The sequence below is a fragment of the Homo sapiens genome, chromosome 11, assembly GCF_000001405.40.
Source record: "Homo sapiens chromosome 11, GRCh38.p14 Primary Assembly".
Lineage (NCBI taxonomy): Eukaryota > Metazoa > Chordata > Mammalia > Primates > Hominidae > Homo > Homo sapiens.
The window spans coordinates 91,812,591-91,833,709 of NC_000011.10; the positions used below are offsets into that span (position 1 = coordinate 91,812,591).

Below are 21,119 nucleotides of genomic sequence, written 5' to 3' on the forward strand. Positions count from 1 at the left end.
CATGCAAAAAATAGGGGACAAGCCAGATATGCTGTACAGGCATAGTTTGCAGACCCGTGTCCCACATATTTCTGTTCCTATCATCTACAGGTACTAAGTGATGGTCTCCAGGTATAAGCCTGGCTCTTTCACTGCACCATGAAAACCTGTAACAGACCTTAATGTGAGCAGCATGATGAAGTTCAGCTTCACTATTCCAAAATTAAAAAGAAAGAGACTGTTCTGTGATGAAGCAAACTCATTCCCAACACTAAATGGGCCACACTCCCTCCTGCTGCTTTGCTACTTTTAGGTTTCCTATAGTCTGGGCCTTTGAGGGGGCATTTGTCTGACACACACAGAGATGGCAGAGCTTTTGAGGAAACTCACCTCCTAAGAGGGCATGCTTCTGAAATGCCCAGTCACAGATCATAGCACACCCCCAGGTGAGCTACTGTTATAACTTTTTTACTAGCAATTATTCTCACCAGTAATATGTCAAGCCACTTTTCAGGACCGTTAGATACAGAAGACAGTATTCTATATTTAACCCTGTTATCTTGGGCACATAACCTCTTTAAGCCCATGTCCCACTATATAAAAATTAAAGTTGAATGCCTACCTCACGGGGCAGCCATTAGGACTAATGCAAATAAAACACTTAGCACTGTGCTTGGCATATATTCAACCACTAAATATATGCAAGCAGTGATGATGATGATATGATGATGGTGATGATGGCAGTAATGATTAAGATTCAGAAGGCCAAACCAAGAGTTTCTCCTAGAAACACATGAAGTTAATCTTCAGGAAATCTAAGTTGCAAGTGCCTTAGTCCCATTAACAGACATGCTGATATTTGAAGCTTACTGATATGATCCAGATTTGGAATTATCACATTAGTCACCACTCTGCAATTTCTCATCACTCCAATTTCAGATATTTTAGTGAGGGACACAATTTCCCAGCAATGTGTTCTGTGAAAAACAGAACAGTTTTTGGATTGAATAGCTTACATACACATGTGCAGACACACCATACATACATAGGTTCTGTGGACAAACAAGTTTGAGAGATACTGAGCTAAATAAAGTTAAACACTTTTCATATCAGTTATTTTTAAAGCACATTTATTATGACAATTTACATTGTGACTCTCTACGAAGAAACTAAAGAAAAAGTAACACTTCCCAAATTCATTAATAGAGGCAGTCTTTTATTCAGTGAGCTGCTTGTTGTATCAGCTTTCTATGGAACACATTTTCAAAATGATGACATTAAAAATGAGCATTTACTGATCAATTAATATATGCTATACTGTCTGCTAAGAACTTTTATTTAACTTTCAAAATAACCTTATGAGGTAGGTACTATTCTAGCACCAATTCACAAATGAGGAAACTTCTCAGGAAAACTTAAATTTCCCACATTCAGACAGCAGAATCTGTATTTGAACCAAGTAACCTGAATTCAGAGCCCGTGCTCTTGATCCATGTAAGTAATGAAATATGGAGAAAACTGATACATCATGTCCTATAGTCTAGATTAGGAATTGGATGGAGACAAATCAGAGGGGGAAAGTGGATGTTTTACATTCCTAACAATAACTCCCAAAACTGCTTCTCCTTTATTTTAAATGGAAGGTTCCTCTCCATCCATTTTTTTTTTTGCCAATTTGAGAATTATCTCACTTTTATCCTGAACCATTAGATTTAATAATACTGGATTCCGATTCTCAGAGTGAATGTTTCTATTTTCAAGGTTAACTGTCTGTTGGAGTGTTTATGGTATAAGATCATATTCTTAGAAACATAGGATCCTGTCTTTGATACTGACTGTTCCATTCAATAGCTCTGAGACCTTGAGCACATTATAGGACTTCTCAGAGGCTCAGTTTCCCCACCTATAGATCAAGAATAATGAGACTTTTAAGAAGTGATTACTTACAGGTAGAAATTTATGTAATTTAATAAGTTAATATTTGTATATGGCTTAGTGGAGAATCTGGTATGTAAATAGGAACTATATCAGTGTTCGTTAAATAAAATAAACAAACCATGTAAAGTTTTAAAATGGTATACATTAACCATTCAACAATGTTAGTTTTTATTATTATATTAGAAAATTTGGAAAATATTATCAAGTATAGGTCATCAGGAAATTTACAATTATCTTCCGTGATGGTTAATATTAAATGTCAACTTGACTGGATTAAGGGATGGAAAGTATTGTTTCTGGGTATGTCTGTGAGGGCATTGCCAGAGGAAGTAAACACTTGTGTCAGTGGACTGGGAGAGGAAGACCCACCCTCAGTGTGGGTGGGCACCATCCAATCTGCTGCAAGTGTAGGTAGAAGAAGCAGGAGGACGAAGGTGGGATAAGCTGGCTTGCTAAGTCTTCTGGTTTTCATCTTTCTCCCATGCTAGATGCTTCCTGCCTTTGAACATCAGGCTCTAGGTTCTTCAGCCTTTGGACTCTTGGACATATACTGGTGGTTTGCCCGGGGCTCTCAGGCCCCTGAAGGCTGCACTGTCAGCTTCCCTACTTTTTTTTCTGAGATGGAGTTTCACTCTTGTTGTCCAGGTTGGAATGCAATGGCAGATCTCAGTTCACTGCAACCTCTGCCTCCCAGGTTCAAGTGATTCTCCTGCCTCAGCTTCCCAAGTAGCTGGGATTACAGGCATGCACCACCATGCTCGGCTAATTTTTTATTTTTTAGTAGAGAGGGGGTTTCTCCATATTGGTCAGGCTGGTCTTGAACTCCTGACCTCAGGTGATCCGCCCACCTCGGCCTCCCAAAGTGCTGAGATTACAGCTGTGAGCCACCACGCAAGGCCAGCTTCCCTACTTATGAGGCTTTGAGACTCGAGCTGTGGCACTAGTGGCTTCTTTGCTCCTCAGCTTGAAGAGGGCCTATCATGGGATTTCACCTTGTGATCATGTGAGTGAATTCTCCCTAATAAACCCCCTCACTATCACAAGAACAGCATGGGGAAAACTGCCCTCAACCTGGTGGGATTACAATTTGAGATGAGATTTGTGTGGGGACACAGCCAAACCATATTAACAAAGTATGCCTGTATCCCCAAATCCTTTGTATTTTGGTTCTTTATGTTCCAAGAAATAATTTTTTCTGGAAATTTTAATTATTATCAGAGCAGTTGAGAACTCAGAAATAAAGAAAAAAAAAGCCCCTAACTCCTATAATAACTGCTCAATTCCCTTGCACTAAAAGTTTAGTATTTTGTGGAACAAGAAAATAGTCTCTTCATTTATACACAAGAATAAATCTCTGAGTCACCTGAATTCTCATAGCTCAGTAGATTAGAAACAGTAAATTCGGAGACAGATGGCCACATGAACCCTGGGAGGGGTAGTTGATGGCTGGACAATGAAAAAGAGAAAAACAAAACCTACCAGAATAGAACTTAATGCAATTGCCAGTAGCCATCGTGCTCTTTGGAGTTACTGAGAAAGTGTCACATTATAATCCATATTTTAAGAAAGCAAGAAATTATAAAGTGTAGAAAGAGTTATTTCAAAAACAATTGAAAATCATGGTTAAAATAGTAAAACTTCAGTTATACAGAAGCTTCACTTCTATGATCCCAAATTTCCACATAATAAAGTGTCATAGTATTTGATTTGGATGACTAAATTTATGAATGGTAACTTTTTGTTTGTTTGTTTTTGAGACGGAGTCTCGCTCCGTCGCCCAGACTGGAGCGCAATGGCGCAATCTCGGCTCACTACAACCTCCGCCTCCCAGATTGAAACAATTCTCCCACCTCAGACTCCCGAGTAGCTGGGACTACAGGCATGTGCTACCATGCCCGGCTAATTTTTGTATTTTTAGTAGAGACGGGGTTTCACCAGGTTGGCAAGACTGCTCTCGAACTCCTAACCTCAAATGATCCACCGTCTCGGCCTCCCAAAGGGCTGGGATTACAGGCGTGAGCCACCGTGCCCAGCCGGTAACTTATTTTTTATTAAACAAAATAATGATTGAGTGCTTATGCCTTGGTAAAATTCTGTTTGGGTATTATTTTGAAAATAATAAGATTTCCCTAGGCACAAACCAAACATTTATAAAAGGTGATCTTACTAGTAATAAGCTCCGCAGAGACGGTAAGTAAAATATATCAAGCAATGTGTGTGGAAGCCCATTCATTAGAAATTAAAATTTTACAGTTCTAGTGAGTTGCTATGAGGCTGAAATGACGATGGATTAAATTGCTTTATTAATATTAAATTGTTATGCAATAATTTTAGTGCAGATAAAACTTTACCCTTTACAAGACATTTTTTTCAGCCATTATTTCATTTAATTTTCACATAATAATTATAATGAAAATAGCAACAACAACAATGGCAATGTGTAGAACATTATCTTAAAATTTTATTTGATTATCTCACTTATTAATTCAAAAACTCCTAATGGTAAGTATCATTTTACCTTAGAAGAAAATGAAGTTTAAAGAGGTTAGGTAACTAGTTACGCAGGTAATAATTTACAGAGAATGCAATTCTAATACAAGCACCATGTTCTAAATCACAATGCACTGTTGCTTCAAAAAACTCTAAGTGCTGGAATTTTCTAGGACTGTTATGTACAAGAAAATTAATCTCCGAGTAATTTGCAAGATTTTTTCTCAGCATGTAAGTCTACGGTCAGATTCAGGCCTTCTGATGATTGATTCCATGCTATTGCTACCAGGCTTGCCCCATCCATTTTACTTTCCTAGCTTTAGGAAGCACATTACGGTTCAAAATTCTTAACTCAAAAAACTCCACACAAATCAATTCCCCCAGTATAGCTGCAAAGTGCCAAACAAAGTGTTCTCTTGGGAGCACAGGGGAAAACCTTCCATAGAATCATAGTGAAGAAGTGACTTGGTCAATGGCAGCTGGTGAGTCAGGTTTCCTCCAGCTAAAAATCCTGATTCACGCCCTTTGAGACTTTTGTGACCTTGTCTCAAATCACCTTTCATGAGTAAAATGGTCAATGTTGAAGTATTACTTAGACAAGAGTGGGAGGGAGTTGTGCTTATTATTTGGGGGTCTATTCCTACTGCAGCAAACATGAAGGAAAAACTGCTACTTTCTGAGGGGAAATTTACAGTCTAAGGACATGGTTTGGAAGCAGTAGAAAAATTACAACATAAAATATACTCCTCTTTCCCTTTGTAGACACAAATGTCTGTTCTGAACTCATGGGTTGCCTTCCATGGTGCATGAGATGGATGGAGTCAATGGTGGCCCAGGGTTTTGCAGGCTTTCCAGTAATTCACAGCCTGTATTCCACTTGCCCAAAGTTTCTTATTAGGCAGCGAAGATAATATACTCACAAAAATCAAGGTGGCTAGGAAGTATGCTTCTACTTCTAAAGAGGTATTTCCTTATCATTCTATGTAATTAAGACAAAAAAAACCTGGGTTTATCGAAAAGTCCACTGTGATATGCTTCAATGTTTAATTGTAACATTCATCATTATTTGCCTTTGACTAAGAAAAAGCTTCAGTTGAAGGCAACGAAATCCCAAGGTTATATTAAACAATGCCTTTGGACTAGCTAAAAACAGCATGGACTCTGGCTTTCTTGGGTTCGTTAAAGAGCTCTTCTGGCAGCTAAACAGCAGGAGTGGGTGCTGTAGCATTAACAGTAACAGTGGTGTGCCGCCATTGCCTGTGCACAGCCATGTGTGATGCATGATGAAGAAATAAATAGAGAATCCTTTTTAAAAAAAAAAAAGGCAGAGAGCAAAGAAAGGAAAGAGAAGAGGCTTCCAAATGTAGGACACTATCTTATTTTCCTATATTCAGCTCTTCACAGGGGCAAGTGGGGGAGAGGAAGACACAAAATTAACTTTTCAAAATATAATTGTTCTGCAAATTAATGACTTTGATGATTCACTGGAAGAAAGAGTATTATTTTATTTAAATTAAATCCAATATGTAATACCATTTTTGTCATACTGGAACTACTTACTGTGAATTCACAAGCTGCCTTATGTTAACTTCTGTTATCTTGTTATATCTCTTGTTTTGATTTTAATGAAGATGAGTTTCTACGAAGTACTTGCAAAAGATCCTGTGTCCAGGTTATTGGGATTTTTGGACATTGAAGTATACTCTGGCTATTCTTACCCTAAGTATTTACTCTGAGGCGTTCCTTTGGTTTAACAATGTTTTTCAAAAAGTGTTATGTTCAGTATAGAGAGCAGTTTTAAGTAAACTGAATTCATTATGCAACATCTCAACCTTAAATTATAAATATGGTTTTTGTTAAAATCACAGTTTATTGAGTTATTTTGTGTAACATCTAGCCAAATATAGGTACGATTATATGTTTATTGTATATTTTTCAATAATTATGATACTTTAGTAGCCTTTCTCACATTCTAAAAATGAAAAAAATACATACCTCTGTATCAAATATTTGTAGATAATCTTAAATTTTAGGTAAGTAAGTTTATCAAAAAAATGTTATTGAAAAATTTTACCACCTTAATTGACATTGCTTAGGACTACACTTTAGGATGCATTATAAAAACACTGAATGTAAGCCCATAAGGGCAAAGAACTTTGTTCATTTTATTCACTGATGTATCTCAAGCCCCTAGAACACTTCCTGGCAAAATAAATTGTCACTCATTAAATACGTTTAATTGAATTATTATGTTTACCATTGTTATTCAATCCAGATACAAATACATTAATTTTAACAAAACACACACTAAAAAAGAATTGGAGTTTTTCATCCAGAGGGATCCCTCAGAGCTACTCCGGAAACTGTTCTGACAACTGTTATTTTAAGCCTTTTCTTTAGTCATCAACTACCTTCATAGCCCTCTGATGACCCTTTTGTTGCTCAAATTAGCCAGAATAAGCATATGTGGCTTGTATCAAGGAATCTTAATGGAAATAATAGTTGTATCTTGAATTATCAGTCTCATAAGTCTATATAATAAGTGAAATAACCCATGTCATTGTTGAGGAGAGGTTGTGTGTGTGTGTGTGTGTGTGTGTGTGTGTGTGTCTGTGTTTGTGTGTTGTGGGGAAAGTGGTTGCTTTGTGTTTTGTTGTTTCACTTTCTAATGCCATCCAAATCAGATTGTATTGTTTACAACCACCTGGAAGTGAAGAGAGCAGTCTTGCTGAATAATATCTAGTTATTGCTTAGACTTTTAGAAATGTGCCATATGGCTGCTCATTAATTGCTCATAACAATGTTTTAACTACAAATAATTGGAGTAACTGGGCCTTGGAGCTCTCTTAATTTACCTTTCAATGGCTCCAGACATTCTCCCTCATTTCTCTCCACCCACCCTCCAACCCCTACTCCCTCATCTAGGCCAGAATTCCAGAGAAAGGAAAAAGAAAGCAGTGTCCAAACCACTTCCATTTTCCTGCTTATCCTTTGTAAAGTAGCTAGCCATTCCCCTTCCTGAGAGGTCAGTCCCACAGGAGGTCACCAAAGCCAGCCCACTTGAAAGGCCAGTGTCCTTTTATGAGCAGAAAGCACATGCAGAATAGCCACATGAACTAAATCCTCCACTTGGATCACCGTGTTCTGTCCAGAATTATCAAAGGTTTTTTATACCAGGAAAGCAACTACAGAAACTGCTGTGTGCACAGAGGCTGGGTTTTCCTTGAGTAATTGGATATTATTACCAGTATCAGGGCTTTTGAACAATGGGTCATGAACCATCAGTGAAGTTTAAAATCAATTTCATGGATTGAAGCAAACACTTTTTAAAATGTAACTAAAATTTTTCGAATTATATTCTGTTGCTCTGAAAAAGGAATTCTCATTTCATTTAATTATCACAAAGTAGGCAAAACTGAAACTAGCTATGTAGGTGTTCTGAGCAAACAACATATATGAAATATGCTATGAAGTCAATTTTATAACAGATGATACAGTCCACAGACATGTATTAATAATACTGTGTGCCCTCCAGTGGCACCTTACTCTTAGAAATTATTCTTGCTGACTAGGTGGTAGACTCAATTGTCCTGTGAATGGGTAAATGTGCTATGAGCATGTAAATCTAACTTTAAAGTGATAATCTTTTGTATATCATTATTTACATTTTTGTACCCTAGGGTAAGTATTGGATTGGCTCTCTCTATGTATGGATCTGGAGATGAGTGTTAGTATTACCCTTATTTTTATGAATGAAGACACTGAGCTTCAAGGATTTGGATAACTTCGCCAAGGTCACACAACTAGTAAGTGGGAGAGCTTAGAGAAAGTTCTCATCACCACAATAGTGCACTGCCTCTTCTTGAAGCCTGGGAAGTAGAGCACCCTGCTCCACCCAACTGTACAAAACTGCTACAGCAGTGCGTCCTAAGAAAATGGTCTCCACCCAAGAGCAAAGTGGGAGAAGGAATGTGGGTGAAGCCATTTCATTTCTATTTTGTTCTTCCTGAGCTGCCTTTTGTCAGCTTCTCCAGAAAGAACTGCCTTGCGCTGAATAACCATAATTTTATCTAGAAAGTTTTGTTGCAATGCTGTCACCTTTCTTTATTCCTCTGTGTAGCTTTCATGACGCCTGCTCTATTGAATTTTCGGATATCTTTTGTCTGTTAACTCCTCCACTCTAATATCATACTATTCCTTCTCTACTTTTAGTCACACTGTTTCAGTTATTATTCTATTTTTAATTTACCTACTGAAAGCATTTCTCTATTATATCTTAAAATACCATGACTTAACGCATCTAATAGACTGAGAAAAAAATTAAATCTAAACTATTGAAAACAGTCAGCTTTTTGAAATATATATATCATAAAATCACTTTCTGAGAATGCCCTGGAGAGCAAATTATAGATGGCTGGAGTTCAATAAAAACAACTTTGAATGTATTGGGACTGGGTTATTACATGCTTCTGCTGCTTATAGCCAGCATATTTCCTCTTTATTGTAAATCGTGAGTTCAAACGACAAATACTTCCTATTGACCTAAACTTAGTTGCACTTCAGGGTCTTTCTGTCCTGCCTGCCAGCCGCCTGCAATATCTGTTACAGAGATTTGGTGAGGTTTTATGATGACCCAGAATTTTTTTCCGCCAACATAAGCTATATTTTATGTTGGACAAGTGGATTTTATTTTATTATATTATCAAGATCTTGGAGTAGTAAGAAAACAGAAAACACAAGCAATAGGGTGATGTGGCACAAAGAGAATCAGCTGTGTCAGAAATGCTAGGAAAGTCAGGTTCAAATTTTTGTTTTCTTGGTACAATCATTCTACTTCTCACCTCCATTTGGTTGCCTTCTTTTCTTGGCCAATTTCAGTGCTGAGGTTGAAATTAACATTCCAAGCTGAGTACTCCAAATAAGATTAGAATTGCAAAAATGAGACGAAAGCAGAGAATGACTGATTTCAGTCCTTATGTCAAGGCAAACATTCATTTGCCATTTAGACTTTCTTAACCGTAAGACTGGACAAACTGTCAGCCGCATGATGCTATGGTTCAAGATGTCAAAACATCAGTATGGCAGGCTATTGCAGATAAAAGTTCTAACTTTGGAATCGGACTGCATTCAATCATATTTCCATTAATTACTAACAATGTGACTTTAGACAGATAACTTCCCTAAACCTCATTTATAAAATAAGGAAAATAATAATATCTACTTTATAGAGCTATGTGAAAATTAAAGGAGGTTATGGATATAAAATGCCTAATGGAGGACACCTTGTGACCACTCAGTATGTTATTTTATTATTGTTACACTACACTACTTTTACACCAACCCCAAGCTGAGAGGTAGGAAGAGAGTAAAGTTAGGTAGAATTGCCCACATTGGGAAAACCACTGCTGGAAGGCAAGATAGAGATAATTATGGAAGAAGCAAAGAAAGTTTGAGCCCAGAGAGTGTACATGTTTGTGGGTTGCAGGGCAGTTAATAGTGGTGGAATGAGAGAACATTTGTATGAGAGGGGCTTAGAGAAAAAGAAGCCTGGATTCTTGCTCTGGGTCACATACTAAATGGTTATGTGGCCTTTGGCAGGTCACACACTCTCTGCCTCTCACAAAACTCATCAGATGTTAAATGAAGAAATTGGTTTAATGCAGCTCTAATGCTCCTTCAAGCTATCAACGTATTGTGGCACATAGTTAAGGGTTAGTTAGCAAAGAAATAGAGAATCCAGGGGCAGAGGAAAGAGGCTTACTGCCAGTGGGGAGATGAGGCAGATGAGGCAAATTACTGTAACTGCCTGACAGGTTCTTCCTGCAAGCTGCACAAAGACCACAGCAAAGAAAGGCCGGCCACACCACATTGGAGACAGAGTTATTACTCAGATGGATCTCCCCGAAAATTCGGAGACTGGGTTTTTTTAAGGATGATTTGGCAGGTAGGGCCCGGGGAGTGGGGAGTGTTGATTGGTCGGGTCAGAGATGAAATCATAGGGAGTAGAAGCTGCCCTCTTGCACTGAGTCATTTACTGGGTGGGGGCCACAAGATCAGATGAGCCAGTTTATCTACCCGGATGACACCAAATAATCCACCGAATGCAGGGTCTGAAAAAATATCTCAAGCCGCAATCTTAGATTTTACAGTAGTGATGATATATCTATGAGCAATTGAGGAGGTTTTGAATGTTGTAGCCTCTAGCTGCATGATACCTAAACCATATTTTCTAATCTTATGGCTAATTTGTTAGTCCTACAAAGGCAATCTAGTCCCCAGGCAAAAAGGGGGTTTGTTTGGGGAAAGGGGTGTTATCATCTTTGTTTCAAAGTTAAACTATAAACCAGGGTCCTTCCAGTTAGTTTGGCCTACACCCAGGAAGAAATAAGGACAGCTTGGAGGGAGGTTTGGAAGCAAGATGGAGTCATTGAGGTCAGATCTGTTTCACTATCATAGTTTTCTCAGTTATGATTTTTGCAAAGGCAGTTTCAGCACAATGAAGGATGGGAAAACATAGGAGGGAGAGAGAGAGATCTAGGAGAAAATAAAAATTGAGTGCAATTTTTCTATTTTCTATTATGCCAGAACATTTACAGTAGGAGTTGTTCCACATGGGGACATTGCAGTCATTTCCTCAATATCCTGATAATACGTAAAAAGCTTACATCATACTACCCATTACCCTCATAAAGCAGTTCTGTGGGTGTTAAATATGTTATCACTCAGTAGCCTCAGGTTAAGCCACAGCAAACAGACAGACAGACACACACACACTTCTGAAAAATATGCTATCCCTATTCCCAATCCCTGTCTCCATTAAAACTTCTGATTACTTAATTTTTCTGTATAAATACAAATAAGATTTAATACTAATTATCTGTCTAGTTTTTTAGATTGTTATTCTACAAAATAACCCTGGATAGTTCTTTATTCCTATAACATGCTGTAGAAGATCATCTTCCTGAAGTAGTCTAATTACAATATTAGATCATCAGTGCCCTCAACTATTTGCTTTCCCCCTTCTCTTTGTTCCTCTCACACATACATAAATAAAATGGCAATAGGAATACCTTGAAGATTCTTTTAGCTTGCATTATATTTTCTTATATTTTTATATATGTATACCTACATCTGTGTGTGTGTGTTTTAAACCATTCAGCATTCATACACTCTATCTTATATCAGCTGTTTACAGGTATACTCTTCTTTAATTTATAGAAAATATGGGTCCCAAACCAAATCCAAGTGGAACACATAAACTAGGTTAGAAAAATCAGCACATTATATAACCTCTAGCCGCTGCGACTGGTTCTTTAAAGGACACACAATTCAATTAGAATCACTGAGATCCAATGAGAACCTTGCCCGAATGGAAAGCTGGGACCACCTGTAGTTATCTTCACTCCATGAAAGAAACCCTTCCAGAAATAGTGAGCTAATCCAGAAGCAGCAGGACTGAGGGATGAAGCAAGAGATTAGCTGAATCTGTTTCTACCATTTGAGGCCTTACATAAAGCTTAAACAAGGCCATTCTGACCTCTGAGCTTTTTAACATACTAGTTTTTTTTTAAAGATATTGTTATTTTTAAGAGATCACTACTATGTATATGCATATGTAAGCTCAGTAAAAATTAGGTAAAATGCAAAATTAACCTTTACATATTAAATAAAATCACTTTTGTTCTAAAAGGAAGAGGTACTGAAATCTGGCATTAAACCTGTATACACACACACACACACACACACACACACACACACACACACACACACATACACACACACACACAGTGAGCTAACTTTAAACTTGAAAATGACCTGTGATATTTTATTATTTCAAGTGTCACTGAAATTTTATTCTTGCTCACTAAAGCCTTTCTATTCTTTCTTCAAACTGGCTTTTCATAGATATTCCTATTTCTTAGCTTACCAGTGAAAATACAGCATTCTGAGATATTCAAAGCATGGCACTTTCAGCCCATAAAGACCTCAGATTTCAGGAGCTTAAATTTTCAGTTCACCTTATACTTCAACAAGAGCTTTATTTTGCCAGTTATAGTTCCTTTAAAGAAATAGCTCAAACTATTTCTATCCAGTTTTTAAAGTTAAGTGTTTTTCAGATGGATCATAGGGATAAATTGCCTCAAATAAGAAAATTGTTCATTCTGAGAGTAATTACAGGGCATTTTTCTTTTCCAAATGATTTTCTCTCCCAAATTTGTATCTCTCTAAATGAGCTCTCTCTGGTGACTAACTGCAGCTAGGATGTACAAACACGTCTGTGAGCAAACACGCACATTTATTCAGATATGTGGCATGTCCCAGATACTACCCTTGGCCTTCTTTCTCTTACGCTATGTCTCTTTTTGAATAATATCATCCATTCTCACGGTGTCTACTACCACCCAAATACTGATGATTTGCAAATGCATTTTTCCAACTCACTTCTATCTTCCAAAATCAGTGATGAAATGTCTGGGGTGTCCCAGAAGATGCAAGACTTAGTTGATTCCAAGCTAAATTCATCACCTTCCAATAAAACCTCTCTACAGACCAGGCAATGGATTCCTCTTCTGGGGCTGCCCATAACAAAGTACCCCAGATTGGGTGGCTTAAACAACAGAAAATTATTTTCTCACTAATCTGGAGGCTAGAAGTCTGAGATCAGGGTATTGGCAGGGTTGGTTTCTTCTGTTATCTGTCAGTGTCCAAATTTCCTCTTCTTAGAAGGGCAGCAGTAATATTGAATTAATGCCTTCTCTAATGACATAATTGTAATTTAATAACCTCTTTAAAGATCCCTTCTCCAAATACTATCACATTCTGAGGAATTGGGAGTTAGGACTTCATATGAATTTTGTGGGGGACATAATTCAGCTTATAACAGAGTTGCACTTTAGGAGCCTCCCAGAAAATAAAGGCATTGTGTTTGGTATAGAGTGAGTGCTCTGTAAGCACCATAATACCACAATGCCCCAGGCATAATAAACCTCATGCAGATTTCAAAACATGCCGTGTTCTCTCATATTTCCAGCCCTTTATTCAGGTTCTTCCCTCTGCCTGGATTGTTCCCTGACGCCTTCATCCCCCACCATTCTGCCTCAACCTTTATACTCCCACTTAGCTCATATTTACCATTTAAGACTGAGTCCAAACATTACTTCCTTCTCTGAAATGCTATTTTCTACTTGTGATGAAAGAATTCATCACCTTTTCCTTTACAAATATTTTGTAGCTGGTATGCATATATATGGACTAATTTTATCTGGTGTCATTGTGGCAAGTAACATAAATGCCTAAATCCTCCTCTAAATTTCCTGCTCCTCAAAGGCAGGGGTTGTGTTCTTACCTTTACTGATCAAATTTTAGCAAAGTGCCTGGTGCATAGTAGTCACTCAGTGTATGTTTGTTAGATAAATAAACATAAATAAGCCCACGAATAAAGCCATAATTGTGTGTAACAGCTTGCGTCTTACAAAGTACTTTTATGTACATGATCTCCTTTGAACAGCTCAATAAGGTACGAGAGACAGAGTAGCATAGTGCAGGGGACAGCTAGCTATGGTTTCCAGGCCAAATCTGAGTGACCTCTGAGTAAAGTTTTTGTTTGTGTTTTGTTTTAGGGAGCATACTTACAATATTTCTTAACATTTAATAAACTTCCTATTTCCAAAATTTTATATTTGCAGAAAAGTTGCAAGAATACTAGAGGTTCCCTTTGTCCCACCTTCTAATTTCCTCATTGTTAACATCTTACGTTACTTTGATGCAAATGTTACAACTGATGAACCAATATTGATACATTATTAACTAATGTCCATACTTTATTACATTTCTTTTTTACCTAATGTACTTTTTTTGTTCCAGAACCCCATCCAAGATACCACACTGCATTTGGTCATCATACTTCCTCTAGGATCTCTTGGCTGTGATAGTTTCTCAGACCTTCTTTGTTTTTAACAACCTTGGCAATATTGAGATATACTGGTCAGATATTTTACAGGGTGCCCTTTACTTACTTTACATCCATGTTTTTCTCATAGAGTTTATAGGTTTTGGGAAGGAAGACCATAAATGTAAAGTGCCATTCCCATCACACATATCAGGGTTACTGATATGCTATTAACGTAATTTTCACTGATGATATTAACTTTGAACACCTGGCTGAAGCTGAAGGACGGCTTTTACATTATGAAGGTTGAAATATCAAAAGAAGGTTAATATTTTGTGATGAGACAATTCTATGAAATTCAAATTTCAGTGTCCATAAATAAGTTTTATTGCAACACAACCAAGCTCATTTATTTGCATATTGTCTAGGCTGCATTGACATTATAATGGCAGAATTGCAAAACAGGCTCATGGTCTGCAAAGCCAAAAATATTTACAATCTGGCCCCCTGGTGAAATGAAACAAGAACAAGCTCAAATCAGACATGTCTGAGTTTAAATCTCAGCTCTGGCATTACCGTCTATGTGACTTGCAGCCAGCTGCTTAACATCTTGGAAATAAGGTTTTCTCATCTGTCAAATGAGGTTGTCAATGTCTGTTTCAAGGTTATAATGAAGATTGTGATAATGTTTATAAACCTTTCAATGATTAATATCAATTACTAATCAAACAGATAAAATTATCCTCATTAAATAGAGAAAATAGATTCAAAGGGGCAAAGTGATTTGCATACCACTGGTAAATGTCAAAGTGGAGTTTCAGTGTGCATTTGTAGGTGCCGCAGCATGAGGCATGCCACAAACTTTGAAACAGGACATCTTAGTGTGACTTTAGGTTCTGCCTGAGTCTTCCTAACTGTGAATTCTTGGGCAAGTCACTCACTCTTCCTCCCTGAGGCTGAGTTATTTTTATGTACAAAATGGGTCTCATGCACACTATTTACTACAGAAGACTGATGTGAAGAGTAAGTGAGCAAAGGTATACAAATTCACTGTTACACAGGATGGAGTCCAGAAACATGAGTTCAATTTTTTACTACATCAAGCTCTATTTATGGGAATAAAACTTATTCAAATAGTACTTTGAGAAAAATATTAAAAGGAAGGCAAAAACACAAAAGGCAAAAAAATCAATAATCCTCTGATTATCTCTTGTTTTGAATCGTCTGCTTTGTACTTTCTTCTATGAGTCCAGACACTAGAGCACTTGCCAGGTCTAAAACATGGTAGACAGATAAATGAATGGGATGCAGCTACTGACTGCAGGAGTTATAAACCTGATGGATAGCAGTGTAAGACTAAGATGTTGTACATTCTATGAAGTAAGAAAGCCATGACTAAGCTATGATAATGAATGAATTTTTTCATGTTACGTTCTCAGTTCTTTAAGAAGCCTCACAATTCCTATTGCCCTCACCACTTCCAAGCTCTCTCCAAATTATTTATGTAGCTTGACTCAATTCACACATACCCATGCTCTTGCAGACTCTCCTTCTTTACTCCCATAAAAGCTTGGGAGAAAGCCCCATCATGGTTAAGAAGCTAACTTATAGTATCTTAAAGAAATTTTGACATCAAGACATTCCTGGAGCTTCTCTTGGATGTTGGGGGCATATGGAGTGTTAAAAATAATTTGAAAAATGTAATATGTAATATTCTACAATATTATAAATAGTTCATTAAAAAACAGAAATTAAATTAACTTTTAACTCTTTCTCATACACTATTTAGAGTACATGGTTTCCAGGCCAAATACCACAGTGTTCCAGGCAAGGATGTGGTCAGTTTCCTTCTCTGCTGGATCCCAAAGCCCAGGGCAGCTCTTGCACATAGTAAGAACTTAATAAATATTTACCAAATGAATATCTACACAACAGCCAGAAAGAAACACTGCCTGTACTAAGTGATTACTATATGACCTAATCAAAATATATTCATTTTATTTTCATTTTTTTAATCCTTTTCTGAATATTTAGAGTGTCTACTGTGTGTCGTGACAGATGCTAAGTGTCGGAATTCAAAGATGAACAAAACAGACACAGGCCTAGCCTTTATCGGTATTACAGCACATTGGAGGAAGCAGGCAATTACAAGAGCATTTACAATATAACTTGGTAAATGCTATGATAGGAATTATAGAGTGCTATAAGACTAATCTAGACTCAGAGGTCAGAAAAAGCTTCCCAGAGAATTCAACTTGGCTTAGACTTGAGGAATGAGTAAGAGTATGATAGGAACATAAATTGAAACTTTATGTGGTCCAGTTTCGTCATGGAAAACCTTGTAGTATAGTTTGAAGTCAGGTAACATGATGTCTCCAGCTTTGTTCTTTTAGCTTAGGATTGTCTTGGGTATACAGGCTCTTTTTTGATTCTGTATGAAATTTAAAGGTAGTTTTTTTTCTAATTCTGTGAGGAAGTCAATGGTAGCTTGATGGGGATCACACTGAATCTACAAATTACTTTTGGCAGTATGGCCATTTTCACGATATTGATTCTTCTTGAGCATCGAATGTTTTTCCATTTGTTTTTGTCCTCTCTTATTCCTTGAGCTGTGGTTTGTAGCTCTCCTTGAAGAGGTGCTTCACATCCCTTGTAAGTTGTATTGCTAGGTATTTTGTTCTTTTTGTTGCAGTTGCGAATGGGAGTTCATTCATGATTTCGGTCTCTGATTATCTATTATTGGTGTATAGGAATGCTTGTGATTTTTGCACATTGATTTTGTATCCTGAGACTTTGCTGAAGTTGTCTATCAGCTTAAGGAGATTTTGAACGTATTTTATACATTAACAATGAATTATCCAAAAAGGAAATTAAGAAAATATTCCCATTTACAATAGCATCAAAAAAAGTCATAGAAATAAATTTAACCAAAGAGGTGAAAGACCTATACACTGAACACTATAAAGCATGCATGAAAAATTAAACAAGAAACTGAAAAATGGAAAGATATCCTATGGTCATGGATTGGAAGGATTAATATCATCAAAGTGTCCATACTACCGAAAGAAATCTATTGGTTGAATGCAATGTCTATCACAATTCAATGACATTTTTCACAGAGAGAAAAACAATTCTAAAATTCATGTGGAACCACAAAAGACTCTGAATAGCCAAAGCAATCTTGAGCAAAAAGAACAAAGCTTGTGGCCTCACACCACCTGATCTCAAAATATACTGTAAAGCTATGGTAATCAAAATAGTATGGTTCTGGCATAAAAACACATACACACCAACCAACAAAACAGAATAGACAGCCAAGAAATAAACCCAAGCATAGATGGGCAACTAATTTTTGGTAAGGGCACTAAGAAGACTCCATGATAAAAGGATAATCTCTTCAATAAATGGTATTTGGAAAACTGGCTATCCACATGCAAAGGAATAAAATTAGATCTTTATCCTACACCATACACACACACAAAATAAATTCAAAATAAATTAAAGACCTGAATATAAGACTCAAAACTATAAAACTCTTAAGAGAAAACATAGGGGAAAGGCTCCTGAACATTGATCTTGGCAATTATTTTTTGGATAGGACACCCAAAGCACAGCCAACAAAAGCAAAAATAAACTAATGAGACTACATCAAACCAAAAAGCTTATTTGCAGCAAAGGAAGCCCTCAACAAAATGCAAAGGCAGACTACAGATTGGGAGAAATTATTTGCAAATCATATTATCTGACCAGGGGTTAACATTCAAAATATATAAGAAACTCACACAATTGAATAGCAAAAAGAAAGAAAGAATAACCCACTTAAAAAATGGGCAAAGGACCTGAATAGAAATTTCTCCAAAGAAGACATAAAAATGGACAACACGTATATGAAAATATGTTAAACATCACTAATCATCAGGGAAATTCAAATCAAAACTATGAGATATCTCATATCTGTTAGAATGGCTTTTAGCAAAAAGACAAGAAGTAACAAGTGTTGGTGAAGGTGCAGAGGAAGGGAACCACTGTACACTATTGGTGGAAATAAAGACTGATGCAACCACTGTGAGAAACAGTAAGGAGGTTCCCAAAGAAATTAAAAATAGAACTACCATAAGACCCAGCAATATCCCTCTTCTGTATAAATATCCAAAGAGTACTTACTTACTTCTGTGTATACACCCAAAGGAAAAGTGTCCATCAATGGTTGAATGGATGAAACTGTGTGTGCGTGTGTGCACGTGCCCCCTTTGGTGCTCTTGCTAAAAATTAATTAGCGATATATGCTTGGGTTTACTTCTGTGCTCTGTATTCTGTTCCAGTGGTCTGTGTATCTGTTTTTGTGCCAATACCATGCTGTTTTTAATACTATATACATATGTACAGAATAGAATATTACTCAGCCATAAGAAAGAAAGAGATCCTGTCATTTACAACAACATAGATGAACCTAGAGGGCATTATACTAAGTGAAATAATCCAGATGTGAAAAGGCAAATAATGCATGGATCTCACTAATATGTGAAACTTTTTTAAAAAGAGAGGAAAATGGTGATGACCAGGAGCAGGGGTGGAGGGAAAGTTATGGGAAGATGTAAGTCAAAGGGTACAAAGCTGCAGTTTTATAGGATGATTAAATCCAGAGACTTAGTATACAGCATGAGAACTATAATTCCTAATATAGCATTGTATGCTGACAATTTGTCAAGAGAGTAGATTGTAGGTACTCTTACCACAAAAGAGTAAATATATGAGATATTGGGTATATTAACTTGCTTGTCTCTAGTAATCACACTATGAATATGTGTATCAAAACATGTTGTAAACGTTAACTATATACAAAACAAATTAAATCACCTCCTGATTAATAATTGGGTACAACAATTTCTTAGCTGGCTGTGATCAGGAGCCCTAGTCCTTTCTGGCTTCCTTCCCTCTACTTTGCTTCTGTGCTGCTCACATTCTTCTCCACCAGCTTCTCTACTGGACGGACCTACAATTTCCATGTTGGTTCCAAATGGCCTTTAAGGACATGGCATGACAATTGATGAAAGAAGCAAAAGTGGTTTACAAATAAACTGAGCAAAATTAACTCAAATAGTAGTTTAGTCATTAAATAACTTAAAGATATTACATAAACATGAAAGAACTCTTCACAACTCACAGTGTATGCTCAGAGTCCAATGATGTCACCACATAGTATCCCTCTTACACGTTCCATAGATTGTATGCTTTCCACTTACGCTTCTTATTTGATCTGTGGTGTTTGTGTGTAGGTACGGGGGTGCGAGCACATATGAACATGTACTTGTTAGTGGCCCTATGTGCACAGAAGCCCCATTCTTACTAACTGGCTAATCTTAGTCAAGTCTTCTAAATTTAGTTTCCTCACTTAGAAAATGCAGATAGCAACACTTAACTTGGTTATGAAGGTTGGTTGTAAGACCAGAATGCAATGATAATTATGTAATAATTGTAGTACATGAAAGACCTTAATAACAAAAGTTATTAATAAGTGAACACTGAGGATATGCTAATTCCCTCTCTTGGTCTTTTTGATTGGTGAGAGAAGCAAATCGAACCCCATCTGTCTCTTCCTCATTCTTGGTAAAAAGAACAAAAGTCTGATGTTGACCTTCACCATGGGGTAATTCAAAAAGTCTGAATGGGACTGTGAACATGCCAGATCTTCCAGGGGTAAACTGTCTTTTGCCTGGACAGCACACACACTTTAAAATAATATATTGTTCTAAAATGCCACTTTTCACCTCCATTGTCAATTCTGAATATTTGTTGCCCTCAGAAATTGAAACACACCAGTGGAGTCATTCCCATCTATCCATTCATCTTAATAGTAATGGATTTGTGAGAGGAAACTGGCTGGAGTTTAGCAAAGACAAAGCTCCATTCAGCTTCCAAAGGCCAGGGAGAAAGTCCAGGAGAACAGTGGGTTCTCAGGTCCTCTTATCCATTCTGCACCACATCATGATTCATGTCATCTAATGCTGTATATTTGGAGCACACATAGGGTGAAAGACTTCATAAGATTTCATCTGTATCTTGAAACATAGATGGGACTTTGATAGCAAATGGCAGGAAAGGGCAATCTAAGTAGGCAAGAGAAAAGGTCTAGAGGCATAAGAAAATAAGAAATTACCTGAAGACAAATATTAGATTAATACAGCTGTAACACATGGTACAGGGGAGCTACGTTTATAAGGAGCAGTGAAGAAATAGAATAGCTATTCTGAAAAAGGAACACAAAATTGGAGAAATAATACTACTAAATTTTAAGACTTACTATAAAGTTATAGCAATCAAATCAAAACAGTCAATAAAGCTTTAGCATTAGCAAAGAGACACAGAATAATGGAAGAAAATATAGTGTCCAGAAATATACCCATACAAATGTGGCTGTTTGAACCTTAACAGAGGGGCAAAAGTATTCAGTTGAGAAAGGATAATCTTTTCAATAAATAGTATTGGAATAATTGGATATATGTAAAAAATGGACCTTGAACTTGACCTAAACCTCACACATTTTATAAAGGCTAAAAATAAATAATTATTCTACCTGTAAAAGAAAACCATGCAACTTTTAGAAAAAAACACAAGAGAAAATCTTCAAGACCTGGGGTTTGGAAGAAGGGAGAGGAGGAGGGACGGAGGAAGGGGAGAAAAGGAAGGTGGGAAGGAGGAAGGAAAAAAGAAAGAGGCAGGCAGGCTGGACAAAATGTGGGTAACTTTCATGACATTACAAACAGCTAACACTGCTGATATATACGGAGCTCTTAAAAACTTGTAAGAAAAAAAGACTAACAGC

The 21,119-nt window shown here is 37.0% G+C and overlaps 1 long non-coding RNA gene across 5 annotated transcripts in view; it reads left to right on the forward strand.

Moving 5' to 3' along the window:
* LINC02756 (long intergenic non-protein coding RNA 2756) overlaps window positions 1-21,119 on the forward strand; it is a 78,165-nt gene that overhangs the window by 18,269 nt on the left and 38,777 nt on the right. For 2 of the 5 annotated variants that reach the window (NR_187309.1, NR_187310.1), the window contains one exon: window positions 16,086-16,186. The exons of the other annotated variants lie outside the window; for them this stretch is intronic. This is a non-coding gene — a long non-coding RNA (long intergenic non-protein coding RNA 2756). The remainder of the gene's footprint in view (window positions 1-16,085; window positions 16,187-21,119) is intronic. 5 annotated transcript variants of the gene reach the window in all.